General features: G+C 41.7%; 1 protein-coding gene and 2 pseudogenes across 7 annotated transcripts in view, besides 5 other annotated features; 1 reads left to right on the top strand and 2 right to left on the bottom strand.

Moving 5' to 3' along the window:
• Positions 643 to 874, bottom strand: RN7SKP272 (RN7SK pseudogene 272; annotated as a pseudogene).
• Positions 6,195 to 7,896, bottom strand: GEMIN8P4 (gem nuclear organelle associated protein 8 pseudogene 4; annotated as a pseudogene). The gene is given in 1 exon segment (NR_002830.1): positions 6,195 to 7,896. The product of NR_002830.1 is annotated as a gem nuclear organelle associated protein 8 pseudogene 4 (transcript).
• Positions 7,692 to 8,258: an enhancer, noted in NCBI's record as "H3K27ac hESC enhancer chr1:90460321-90460887 (GRCh37/hg19 assembly coordinates)". NCBI's record gives its function as "activates a minimal SCP1, AML or CMV promoter by ChIP-STARR-seq in naive H9 embryonic stem cells {active_cell/tissue: H9 hESC(naive)}" and the evidence as "EXISTENCE:reporter gene assay evidence [ECO:0000049][PMID:30033119]".
• Positions 7,692 to 8,824: a biological region, named in NCBI's record as "H3K27ac hESC enhancers GRCh37_chr1:90460321-90460887 and GRCh37_chr1:90460888-90461453".
• Positions 7,846 to 8,485: a silencer, noted in NCBI's record as "silent region_1061". NCBI's record gives its function as "represses an Ori minimal core promoter by ATAC-STARR-seq in GM12878 lymphoblastoid cells {active_cell/tissue: GM12878}" and the evidence as "EXISTENCE:reporter gene assay evidence [ECO:0000049][PMID:35858748]".
• The window catches only part of ZNF326 (zinc finger protein 326), a 40,424-nt gene continuing 35,018 nt past the window's right edge, over positions 8,040 to 13,445 (top strand). For all 6 annotated transcript variants that reach the window (NM_181781.4, NM_182976.4, XM_047418427.1 and 3 more), the window contains exons 1-2: positions 8,040 to 8,203; positions 11,040 to 11,084. Coding sequence is in view for 5 of the 6 variants with exons in the window: in NM_182976.4 (NP_892021.1) it covers positions 8,188 to 8,203; positions 11,040 to 11,084 (61 nt within the window). In the remaining variant the exon portion in view is untranslated. The remainder of the gene's footprint in view (positions 8,204 to 11,039; positions 11,085 to 13,445) is intronic.
• Positions 8,259 to 8,824: an enhancer, noted in NCBI's record as "H3K27ac hESC enhancer chr1:90460888-90461453 (GRCh37/hg19 assembly coordinates)". NCBI's record gives its function as "activates a minimal SCP1, AML or CMV promoter by ChIP-STARR-seq in naive H9 embryonic stem cells {active_cell/tissue: H9 hESC(naive)}" and the evidence as "EXISTENCE:reporter gene assay evidence [ECO:0000049][PMID:30033119]".
• Positions 8,706 to 8,755: an enhancer, noted in NCBI's record as "active region_1300". NCBI's record gives its function as "activates an Ori minimal core promoter by ATAC-STARR-seq in GM12878 lymphoblastoid cells {active_cell/tissue: GM12878}" and the evidence as "EXISTENCE:reporter gene assay evidence [ECO:0000049][PMID:35858748]".

The raw sequence follows: 13,445 nt of genomic DNA on the forward strand, positions 1-13,445 counted from the left end.
TTGACATAGCAGTTATCAGATTTCATATTGGCTCCATACACCAATAGACCTAAGCAGTTTTGTATCTTGCTTTTCAAATTTGCCATTATAATAAGCATTTTTCACTGTTTCATGCTTTAAAAGTCATCTCTGAAAATGAAATGAGGCAAACAGGAACATTTCTATCCGTGATTACACCAAAATAGAAATACAGGTACTTGCAGAGCACAGGCCAACAATATTCTCTGCTTTGGTGTCCATTTAGAATCCTTCAGATCAGCAGGAACTAGAACTTGAACTCAATTTCTGTAGCCACATTCTGACTACATTTGGTGTGTGATGCCCTCTACTGGCTATTCTAGGATGGTGCCTTTTCCGTTTGTAAACTGTGTAAGGACTCTAAAGAAGGGGGTTTAGATTGTGTCCATGCATGTTTGAATGTTCTGTGTCTGTATTTTTATTTATAGGTGTTGCCTTCATGTAGAATTGAAGCTATATGAATACAGGAGCCGGCTGTGTGTCTGTTTCCTTTTTTTTCATTCAAGAAACATTTTAAAAAATCTAACACATGCCAGGTATGGTGCTAGGAGGCTGGAGACACAAAGATGAAATCTCCACCTTCAAGTGGCTCATTATCTTAACTACTGGGAGAGACACAGTCAGGCAGGGGAACCTACTCAACATGCCTTGAGTATTCCAGCAGAAGAACTTGATTCTCTGTAGACCATGGTCTTTCTCCATCTAGAGAAATCATCCTCTCCAGTAAAGTGTCCAGATTTTGGAAAAACACATGTGGCAGAGCCAGGAAGAAATGGGACACCATCTTAACAGGGCAGATCCAGCAAATCAGTTCTGGCAATCAGTGGGGTTGACATGTCACAGCCAGCTTGCTGTCAATATACTTGGTAAATTAAAATTTATGATGGAGTGTAACACAAAAGTAAGATAAAATGAATGGCAATAATTCAGAGTTGTAACTGAGTTCCTATAAGGGAATATACTTCATTTTCCAGAAAAGTGTACTTTATATAATATGTAACCAATGAAGGAAGGTATCAATTACATTTTGAAAGCACTTTGTATTTGGAACTTTACCTTGCTTTCTGGGAAAAGAAATTCATATAAAATGAACCAGTTTTTTTTTTTTAATCTGAGGAAGACCTGGAGCATAGGACAAAGCATTTGATCACTTACATAGTTACCTTATATGTATTAATAGTTCTGTTTGACCGCATTATGCACAATTATATAAAAATCCTCTATAGATTAGCAAAGTCTTTTTTTTCAAACCTGAGGACTCTGATGATGGTATTGGCTCTACAAGGTTGGCTCCATACACCAATAGACCTAAGCATGACTAAACAATATTTATCATAAATATGAAGCCAGCAATTGCTGGTTGTATGGTCTTGAGTGAGTTACTTAACTTCTCTTCAGTTTTCCTTGTTTGGGAAAGGGTATAACCTACCTTATTGTAAAGAAATGGGCTTGTAAAGTATCCATCAGAATTCCTCAGTAGAGCACAGTAGGTACATCAAAATGACAGAGATGCAAGCTTAAGCCCTGGAGCCAGGCTGACTGGGTTTGAATCTTGGTGCTACACTTCATTAGCTTTGTGACTTTGAACAAATCTTTACTTTTCTGGGTCAGTTTCCTCATTGATAAATTAAGGATGATTATAATACCTACAATCATAGCATTGTTGAGCAGATAAAATGAGTTAACACCTGTAAAGTGCTTCGGAACATTTATGAACATATAGGCCTTAATAAAGGTTAATTGTAATTTATATTGCTATTCCTTTCAGCTTTTAGAGACACTTGCATCTTTTTGTAGTTCTATATTAAAACCAGGGAGAGACATCTTCCCGTGTATAAAATAACATTTCATTCAATGCTGTCATACCAGCTGTTTTCAGCAGTTTTCCACTATTGTGGCCCTGTAACTAGCTCTTCTTTGATATGACCTCAGATCCTCAGTAGAAATTACTTTAAGTTTGGCTGCTTGGCTGTACCATAGTAATTGTAATTGTTAGCTCTTGACTTCCTTCTCTAAGCCTCTATGGATTCCCTAAAGAACATGGAGGAAGATGGCCGGGCGCGGTGGCTCAAGCCCGTAATCTCAGCACTTTAGGAGGCCGAGGCGGGAGGATCATGAGGTCAGGAGATCGAGACCATCCTGGCTAACACAGTGAAACCTCGTCCCTACGAATAATACAAAAAATTAGCTGGGCGTGGCGGCGGGCGCCTGTAGTCCCAGCTACTCGGGGAGGGGGCTGAGGCAGGAGACTGGCGTGAACCCGGGAGGCTGAGCTTGCAGTGAGCGGAGAGCGCGCCACGCACTCCAGCTTGGGCTGCAGAGAAAAACAAACAAACAAACAAAACAAAACAAGAACAAAAAAAGAACACGGAGGAAGAATTATTTGGCGGCAAATTAGGAAAGCATCGTGTAATCAAGACTCTCCTTTGCAATGCTATTGTCACCTTCTCTCCAAAGTAATTGTACAACAGTGATTTTCTGCAGAAGAAGCTCTGAGACCTCATTTCAGTCTAAGTTTTTTCATCATTTGGTTGATGCTCCTCCCCTTCAACATACATAGTGACAATGTGCTATGTACAGGCCATACAAAGGGTTGCAAAGAAGGGTCTCCACACTCAAAGAGTGTGAACAAGAAGCAAGGCAAGGATATAACTAATTCACTCACTAATTATAGCAAAAATCCAGCTGTGATAACCACTTATAAGGTTACAGAGAGTGAAGGGGATTCTGATTAAGAACTTCGGGAGAGGTTTACAAAGAAGCAACATTTATACTGAGCCTGAAGAATGGCAAAGGAAGAGAGGAAACATGATAGAGGCAGAGAGTTCAACATGAGCAAAGTCCGGGAAAGTGAAAATACACAGCTTGTTCGGGGAACAGCAGATGGGCCTGTGTTGTTAGAGCAGAAGGAATGTAGGCAGGTGGTTAGGAGATGAGGAACAAAGGTCCCTGGCTCCTCAGGGAGTCCACTCACTTAGTTCTTCTCAGGTTCCAGGGTGGGGCTTCTCTGACAACTCCCTCAGGATCAGGTCCTAGGTGTAACCTCACATTTCCTCCTTCTCCCAGAAGTCTTCTCTTGACTTCAGCCCTATATCCTTTTACATCTTCACATAAAAAGCCCTATTCTTTTTTATTTTACTTCGGACTTTGCCGGTCTGGCATTATTTACCTGCCATCTGTTGTAAAATATATGGAAGATGAAATGGCATGAGACTTTGTACAAAGCATTGGCCCTTTAAGATAAAAATCTGCGCCTAACAAAGTAAGAACAGGACAGGCAGCCTAGCTAGACTGTGGGGGGTAGGGGGTGGGAGAGAGATAACTGTGAAGTGAGAAAATGATGCTTGGTACATAGTTGGTGTTCAGTCAATATTCGTTTAATAAATGAATTAGGAGACAGCTGGATAGTCTCATGTATTGTGAGATATCTCTGCGGTATGGCCATCTGCCTCTGGAACAGCACCTCCTATTTGGGAAAGAGGAGGGAAACAGGAAGGAAAGGGAGAAAATATATGTGTATTGTGGCTTTCCATGCATTTGTGCCAAGGTCAGGTTTGTTTCTAAGTTAGGAATTCCTTGTCTGGCAGTCTTCTCTTTTAGGGAAGAGGGGCGTGTGTGTGTATGTGTGTGTGCACACACATACACACATGACACACAAATACAATGACCCAATATTTATTCCCTTCTAGTCATGCCAACACCTAAAGACCTCAGGCTACAAAATCATTTCTTTGCCAGAGGAAAACGGGGGGAAAATTATAAGAAAAAAAAGCTAAAAACATTCAGTGAGAACTCAGTTTTCTTGGTAAACATATATATTTGGCACTTAAGATGCAAAGAAGTCTTGATTCTAATCCCAAAGAGCTTTTAATGTGGGAAGACATAAAGCCAGGGTATTTAATGCATGGGAGATAGTGCAGTCACAGAACCCAAGGCCTTCCTACTCCACGTGTGGCTCCACCAGCGGCAGCATCTCCTGGAAGTTTGTTAGAAATACAGACTGTCCAGTTCCACCCAAGACTGACTGAATGTGATTTTTGTCTTAACAAGTCCCTAGGTGAATCATTTGCATGCTAAATATTTGAGAAGTACTGACCCAGGGGGTGGGGTTGGGATCTGGGACTGATTCTTACAGGAAATAAATCCTGAGCTGTGTTTTGAAGATGAGTACGGTTAACCAGGTGGTGTTCCAAGCAGAGGAAACAACATAAGCAAAAGTTCAGTGGTATGAAAAAGCACAGGGGTGTTTTGGGAACCTGTCGCCTAAAATTGGTAATCAAAAGAGAGAGTGTGGGAGAGAGGAGGCAAGGGAAATGCAGAGAGATGACGCAGTTCAGGCAGTGGCCAGATCCTGCTGCATGTGTTCTAGGGTAAGGAGATTTGACTACACCTAATCCTTGACAGAGACGCATGATGACATGTTGAGATTTGCATTTAGATCACTGCAACCCTGAGGAGGCTGAAAGACAGAGAGATTAATTAGGAAGCTGAGGCAATAGTTTTGGAGAGAGATAATGAGAGTCTAAACTTAGGTTGTGGCAGTGGGGATGAAGAGGAGGGGGCAGGTTTAAGATATTTTAGGCACTAATAAACAGATGAAAGACTTCAGAATGGATTGGAGGTGGGAGGATGAGGGAGGGCTGAGTTTTGACTAGATGACTCGTAAGCTGGGATTAGTGTGTGGCTGTTCATGATGCCACTAACAGAGATGAAAGGATACAGGAGGACGAACAGGTTTGAAATTATGAGTTCAGTTTTCAAAATGTTCAGCTTAGGTGAATATAAAACATGTATAGATGGTCTCTGACTTACTATGGTTTGACTTTATAGCTGTGTGAAAGTGACGTGCATTTAGTAGAAACTATAATCCAATTTTGAATTTTGATCTTTTTGCAGGCTAGTGACATGAAGTAGGATACTCTTTTCCAAGGCTGGGCAGCGTCTCCCAGTCAGCGATGTAATCACAAGGGTAAACAACTGATATTCTACAATGTACTGTGCTGCCAGATGACTTTGCCCAACTGTAGGCTAATGTAAATGTTCTAAGCACATTTAAGGTAGGTTAGGTGAAGTTATGATGTTCAATAGGTTAGGCATATTAAATGCATTTTTGACTTGTGATATTTTCAGTTTATGAAGGGCTTATTGGGATGTAACCTCAAGTAAGTGGAGAAGTATCTGCATAGAAGGGAAAAAAGGAGGAAACAAGAAAAGGGTGGAGAACAGGGTGAATCAATCAGGATGGAGGAGGAAAAAATGCTCTGCCCATTTCCGGGGCAACAGTAATACACATAGTGTATCTGTGAGCTTTTCTTGTAGTTGTATTTCCAGAGGTTGCCTCCTTGAAACTTGGTTCCAGCAACTGGGTGGACCCTGAAAAAAGGTAAATAATTTGATTCATGGTTTCCTATCTGGTGATCAACTCATTGTTGCCACCGTTTGCTCTATGAAAAAAAAAAAGTTTTTTAATCTGTGGTTCAAACTGCTCCAATGTCAGTTTGTCTTTTTCCAGATTCCTGAATGTTTGAATAACTTTGTCCATGTCTCAAACACTGTTTCCAAAGTGGCAATAATACAATCCAGTATGTGTGTGTGTGTTTCTATAGGTCATCCTTCAAGCTCTGGATGACTCTTCTGCCACAAATCTTACCCATCTGTGAACTGTTACAGCTCTTTTATTTGCACCTTAAAATTCAGAACTGGATCATAGCCTGTCTCTAAAGTTATTTTTTCTAGACTTGACATTTTCTCAAGGAGTACAGGTTACTGAAACAGAAGAGAAATTAGTCCAATAACATCTCTTTTAAATGTCTTGAAAATAAACATTGGTGACAGTTTTGGTTCATTATCAAATCAGAACCCCTGAAGTGAAACCTGAGTATTGGCACTTACTAAAAGTGCCCTGGAGGATTCCAGAGTAGAGTCACAATCAAGAACCACTGACTTAAATGGCCAAGAGAGCCCCCCACCTCCGCATCACTAAGTATATCTTCAAAGAAAATGAAACATAATATTTGGCTAAAGAGAACTTTTAACAAACACTAATCATTAATAAATAATAAATCTTGTTTTAGGCCAAATATATATTTTACATTATGAAAGTGCTCAAGAATTTGGAGATATAGAAGAACACATAATCATGTGTATATAAAAAGTCATCACAAAAAGAATCATCGTTCATGTTTTAGAATTCTTTTTTTTTTTTCTAGGCAAGAACTTTAATGAATTGAACTGTTACTGACAACATAAAAAACCAGTATAATATATACAAAATTATCATTTTATGTCAGGATAAAATTTATCATGTTGGCAACAGAATATGTCCTGCCGACCTCCAAGTGGCTGGCACAGTACATCCACCCCGTGACAGGCCCACTGGGACTGTGGTGAACGTGCCTGTACCTCAGTACAAAGTCCCCTTTCCCTGAGAAATGTACAGAAGGAGAGATGAAGAGCGCGTATCCAAAAGGAAGAGGAAGAGGCTGGGTGCCCTGTGCCCCGAGCTCAGAACTTCGGGGGGATGACCGGCCAGTAATTAGGCTGCTTTGGATCACAGTGCTTGTCAAAGCTCAGCTGCACGTTAGCCTCCATGGCCTGGATCTTGGCGGCGCTGTCCCAGTACAAACGCTTCATTTCGGCCTGGCGCCGCTCACCAGGCCTCTCAGCTGGGGCCTCTACCGACCGGCGGGTGTTGCAGTACAGGTCGTGTTCAGCGTTCACGTAGCTGTTCAGGCGCTCCGCATCCAGCTGTTGCCGCCGCAGTAGTTCTTCTCTGTGCCTCTCTGTCTCTGCAAAGTACTGGCGGAGCTCTTCGGTGATTTCCATATTGCTCAGGTCACATGCTACCTCTGCATCTGACTCGGTCTCCATCTCTTCCTCCTTGGATAAGGCTTGGTCTTCTCTTGTGGATGCCTGGATCCTACTGCTGCCATGTGGATGTTGCCCAGACCCTCTGAAATGTGAAGAACTGCAGGGGGAGTCCTGCTAGGCCACATGATGGTCATAGAAGGACTGAGGATACGCAGCCTGGTTATCGTAAGAGCTTTGGGGAAGAAGCGCAGGAAGGAAGAACCATGGAAGACTGAAACAGGATTCCACCGCCTTCCTGTAGGCATTGTGGTGGCTTTGCATCCAAGCCATTGCTTGATGATAATGTTGCCAGTATCTTGCATATACTGGATGAGAATACCAAGGCCTGGTAGCTTTTGATGTTGATGCCTTCACCACTGCCATCTCCGATTGTGAAAGTCCAAATGGGTGCCGAAACTTGTGGGCGCGCAGCTTGCAGATCCTGGGCGGTGGCCAAGCAGGCCATGTTTTAGAATTCTTTCCAGGCGGGTCGCATTGGCTCACGCCTGTGATCCTAACACTTTGGGAGGCGGAGACGGGGCTGGGGGTGGGGGGATCGCTTGAGTCCAGGAGTTGGAGACCTGCTTGGGCAACATGGCAAAACCCCCATCTCTATAAAAATAATTTAAAAATTTTTTAAAAGAATTATTATTTCCATTTTATTTCAGTGCTTTGTCCTTTAAGAAAATTTATTGACATAGCGATAATCAGACTCCATACGCTATTTTGTATCTTGCTTTTCAAATTTGCCACAGGCTTCTAGAAACGTCCCAGACTTCTGTGTCTCCATGGAGGAAACCCCGTAAGTACTTACAAATGTTATGATTAGTCATCCCTAGCCAATACTAAGCAAAAGGTAGGCATGCGGTTTTATTAGTTTGGGCAGGAAGAAGGCATTCCAACCGGCTTCTTTCGCTCTTGCCAGGTTCAAACATGGCGGGCCGCAGCCGGCCCTTCCCGTACACTCGGCTTGCTTTCCCACAACCCCCGCCAATCTTTAGCGCTCCTTTTTTACCTTCCTTCCCCGTCAGCGGCTCCAGAGGGTCAGCACCTCCGAGCGTGACAGCGGACCTGCTTCCCGCCCCCCACGCGAGGGCCCGCCCACCAGCCCGCGTCAGCCAATAGCAGGCCGCGCCGATGGGGCTGGTAGCGCCGGTCGGCCCCGCCTCCCCAGCCTCGCTGTGGCCTGCGGCTCCCGGGCTGGTAGCGCGCCGCTCTCGGTCGCGCGGAGTGATCGTGTGGAATCGCGGGTCGCGGACGCTCGCCGCCGGCCATAGCTCAGCCTAGCGCCGCCAAGGCCGACGGCCCTCAGCCTCTGCCATGGACTTCGAGGACGGTAAGCGCTGCCTCTGGCTGGTCGGCGCAGCTGGCAGGAGGCGGGGTGGCCTACGCAGGGGGTCTGTTTACCGTCTCAAGATGGCCGTGTGGGCTTTGTTCTGCGGGCCCGGAGGCCGCCCGCCCGCCCCGGGCCCAGCGCCCGGAGTCGGCCTCTTTGGGGACCCACGCGCCCCGATTCGGCCCGCTCGGCGCCCGCTGCCGGCGGAGACAAGAGAACTCGGTGTCCGGTAGGACGCGCCTAGAGCGCGAGAGCCTCCGGGCTGGAGCCCCAGACTCGCCTTGGCCCCTGGTAGTGGAAATTGCCCCGACGTCTCCAACTTCCCGGTCTCGGGCAAACGGGCGAGTGCGGCCTCACCCACCTAGTCTCGCATTCGCCCCACAGGGCAGCGACCCAGACCGTCCGTTTAGTTAATCCTCAGCCTCGGGTTACTTCTTGCCAGATAGAATTTTCAGAGGCTTGTTCACAGTGATGTTTCTGTTTGTCCCGGTTTAAGATGAGTTGAAAGGGTGTCTGTAAGTGATATGTATAGATAAATATCTATGCAAAATGGAAAGCAAGATGTTTCCTGGTTAGTAAACTGGGGTGTTTATCACCAAAAATTACCTGCTTATTAATCCCTAACTTGAAATATTTATGTGAACCAAAGCACTTTTCTTTGGATCGTGTGTAGGTAGGATTTAAGTTAATCAGAATTTTGGCACAGCAAGCATCAAATGTCCTTCACATTTAGACCTGTACACAGCCTTGTAAGTGTTTGACTTACGGATTAAATAAACTGTATTTTAGCAATACTTTTCAGTTGTCTCAGATACTAATTCTTTAAACCACTTTTACAGGGTCACAAAGTAATATTAATTTGGTCTTCACTTTTGTTTTCAAACCTTGCTTGGAATTGGTGTCAAGATAAAGTGGTATGTAGTGACAACATTAGGGAGACATGGGAAAGGACTTATGTGATTAAACTGGATTTAATCCTGAGTAACCAGGCATGCTTAAGTAAAACCAGTTCACTAAGTAGGCTGTAAACTTTTAACCCCACCAAAAAAATGATCTTTAAATGAGGTGTGATCTCAGCATATGTCTTACTCGATGAGCTTTTGATTTTTCATAACATTTCATGCAACAAAGAATTAAAGCTTTCATATCTAGGTACAGATTTGTGAAAGGGGACTGGAATAGCCCTCTTGTAGATACTTTTCAGTTACTTTGAAATAGTAAGTTCAGCTCTTAAGAGTAGCACACTCTCGTGGTTTTGTTTGTTTTGGTTGGACTTTAACTCATTTTGATGTAGATACCTTTAAACTATGAATATTTGGGCTGGGCACGATGGCTCACACCTGTAATCTCAGCACTTTGGGAGGCGGAGGCAGAAGAATCCCTTGAACCCGGGAGGCGAAGGTTGCAGTGAGCCGAGATCGTGCCATTGCACTCTAGCCTGGGCAACAAGAGCCAAACTTCGTCTGAAAAAAAAAAAACAAAAAACCAACAACAAAACAAAAAACTATGAATATTTGAAGTGGCCAGAGTTGGGAGTGAAAATAAAAAATATATTATTGTATTTTCATGCTGTAGTTTGATGATAATGCCAACACCCAAGGTATAGCAGAGGCTAACAAAGTGGAGGTGGGGCAGTAGAAACAGTTCTTTCCACTCCCCACCCAAGGCAATAAGGGAATCCATTTCTATGGAGAATTGAAAAACAATAATAAAATGTAGTATGTCTGCTTTCTGTTATTGCCATATGCCAGAATTCTAAACAGTGTCAGTGATAGAAATTCTAAACAATATTAGTGATGAAATACGCCCTGTCTCACTGCCCAAATATACCACTGCTGTATTTGGAAGATGGAGTTTGACTAACACCATATATGAATCTATTCCTGTATAGTGTAGCAGGATTCTGTTGTATCCAGATGACCACTATATTAAATTCTGTTCTTTCAGTATATATTTGTAAAATTAACTAAAGAATTTAACAGTTGTTAAATTAGTTTTGATGAGGAAATTGGCAATATGGTTTTCAGTGATGACACATTCTGCTTGAATATAGAACACAGTCATATATGTATATGCATATGCATGTCTCAGATAAGATCTTGAAATCTTTTTTTTTTTGAGACAGAGTCTCGTTCTGTCGCCCAGGCTGGAGTGCAGTGGTGCAGTCTTGGCTCACTGCAGCCTCTGCCTCCTGGATTCAAGTGATTCTTCTGCCTCAGCCTCCCTAGTAGCTGGGACTACAGGCACGCACCACCAGGCCCGGCTAATTTTTATATTTCCAGTAGAGAAAGGGTTTCACCATATTGGACGGGCTGGTCTCGAACTCCTGACCTCGTGACCCGCCCACCTCACCTTCCCAAGTGCTGGGATTACAGGCGTGAGCCACCGTGCCCGGCCAAGATCTTGAAATCTTTAAAGAGCAAATTAAATGGTAAAAGAAATTAACTTAGCAAAAATTTCATGTTACGTACAATTCTCAGATGTCTTTGCTTTTGCATTATTTGATACATAATTTAATCTATCTGCCTTTGTGTTACTTGGTACAAATCAGTGCTGAATCCCCTCTTTTGGCTGTTATTATGTATCAGGTGTTGTAAACTAATGTTTACCATAATTTGGATAATAAACCTACCATTTGGGGAGATAGTGAAGAAAAAAGAGATACATTTTCTGGAATGGAGTATTGGTAATTATTTGTTTTAACTATTCTCAGTTTTGCAGATAATTGGGTTAATGTCATTTTAAAAATTGTGCTTGTTTTTTACTGGATCGGCATATAATTTTGAATTATTGCTAATATCACACTAATTCCTTTTTGTTAAATGTGTCTTCATAGATTACACACACTCCGCCTGCAGGAATACTTATCAGGGCTTTAATGGTAAGTATCCTCTTTCAGCTTTTCTCTTCATGCGCATAAAAATATAGTATCAATGTAAAAGGCCAGTTCTACCTATTTCAGTCCTTGTTTTGGTTCTTGATATATCATTTATGTGTTAATATTGTCTTACTATATATAGTATTTGAATTGGGGAATGTGCTATCAGAAAATGTTAGGGGTTATTCACATTAGTTTGATTTTTTTTTTGGTCCATTTTGTTTGAATTATGATTATTTTAATGTGTTCCAAAGGGCCTAACTACATTCTGAGTGATGAATCACAAGACACTGGCTGAGTTATTTTGGTTGAATTAGAGGCTTTGGTATTGAGTAATGTAGACTAAGTGGATTATTGGCTTGGTTCTATATAGCTTGTATTGTAATGCATTTTGACCTTGTTTTTGAGGTCATTTTCTTCAGTGTGTCCAAATGTGTTAGTATATAAAGAGCTGTCTAGAGGAGCACATGAAGAAGCTTGATTGTTTATTGACATGAGCATGACATTAGACTTGTGACTATAGAACTAGATAGAATCATGAGAGGTATGTAGAATACAATTGGATGTCATTTTGATAGTTATTAGAGTTAGGGCCCTGCCACACAAGATAATAATACAAAAAAAGAACACAGAACAATTAATGCAGGTTAAAAAACATATGAAGGACTTGAGGCATTAAATATCATGATTGCCAGAGAAATGTAAAATCCAACTTTCGTACAGAATAGAATATATTCACAAAGTAAAACTGAAGCAAATGTATACTAAAGACTATGCCATTTATGGGAATAATTACTGAACAGTTAATTTTTATTTCATTATCTTTAAAGATTAAGATAAACTTTGGATTTCATGTGGGCTAAAAAGGCTTAACATATAGGGAGTTAGTACTGAAGAATGTATTTGTGAGCTGGAAATTGAAAATTACCAAAGGAAGTTTAATTTGCATCCACATGTAAGTTATATTGAAAACTGGAAAATTAACGAGAAAGCCATTTCATAAGTTTTGATATAAAGATTTTAAGGCCTTGAACTTGGGAGGTGATAGTAGTAGTAATCTTAAAAATAAAGAGCAAATTAGCAGAACTTGCAGGCTGACTAGTAATGGGTAGAAAATTGAGAGGGTTGAATAAAAATGAATCCAGGATTTTAAACTGGAATGTATGACTAGTGCTTTTACAAGGGAGAGGGGGAGGGGAAGAGGGAGGGGGAGAGGGAGAGAGTTTGTAATGATAAAAGGCCATCTAGGATTTACTGGATAGTTGGATTTAATGTCTAAACATAGGACTTGAAATGCAGACTCATGCAGGGCCAGATGTTTATTTATTAATTAGTATACAGTGTTGCAAAAAGATCTAATATGACTTTTATTTTTTCTCTTAATTTTAGTTATAACTGGTTCTCATCTGAGGGTGATTGTTGGAATCTCTTGGGGAGCTTTTTCAAAGTCTCTCTTTTCACACATAGCCTATACCTCTTGAATCTTAATTTCAGGGCAAGTGGTCTTTGGCTGTGTATGTTGTGCAAAACTACTCTGAATGATTTTGGAAGGCACCTCTGATTAAAGACCAATGCTTGACAGTACTTCTAGGTCTAGATTATCTATATTTTACAAATGAGGAACTTAATTTCAGGGATTCAATTTGACTTTGTTCAGCAAATATTTATTTAGTGCCTGCTGGGCATCAGATATCGTTCTAGGAGGTGGGAATATAGCAGTGAACAAAATGGACAAATATTCCTGCCTTTGTGAGGCTTTCCGTCTAGTGGGATGAAATAGTAAACAAGATAAGAAATAATATATATGTCATAATTTAGTCCACAGGGGAAAAAGGGAGTAATATTTATTGTATGTTAGATGATGATCATTGCGAGGGAGAGTAACATAGAGAAGGAGGATAAATGTGTGTGTGTGCTTGTATGTGTTGCAATTTTAGAGTCTCTGGGGAAAGACTCACCAAAAAGATGACATTTGAGCATAGATTTAAGATGAGTGAGTATGCAAGCCATGAAGCCATTTAGAAGAAGACTTACGGGCTTTAAGAAATAAACAGTGTGTAGGTACCAAAAAGCCAAAAATATATTTTATTGTTAGCACTGTATTTTCTAGGAAGTGAAATGAAGTAGAAGGCATTGGAAAACATGGCAAGATACAGATTTTCCCCACACTATTTCTTGGAAGGAAAATGTATTTCCAGTGTCTCCATGTTTTCCTTCTTGCTTCATAATACCTTTTACATAAATAGCATATAGAAAAGGGGAGAGAAAAGGGTGTGGTAGCTCATGCCTATAATCCTAGTGCTTTGGGAGCCTGAGGTAGGAGCACTGCTTGAGGCCAGGTGATTGAAACTAGCTTGGGCAACA

Source organism: Homo sapiens, chromosome 1 (genome assembly GCF_000001405.40).
Source record: "Homo sapiens chromosome 1, GRCh38.p14 Primary Assembly".
NCBI lineage: Eukaryota > Metazoa > Chordata > Mammalia > Primates > Hominidae > Homo > Homo sapiens.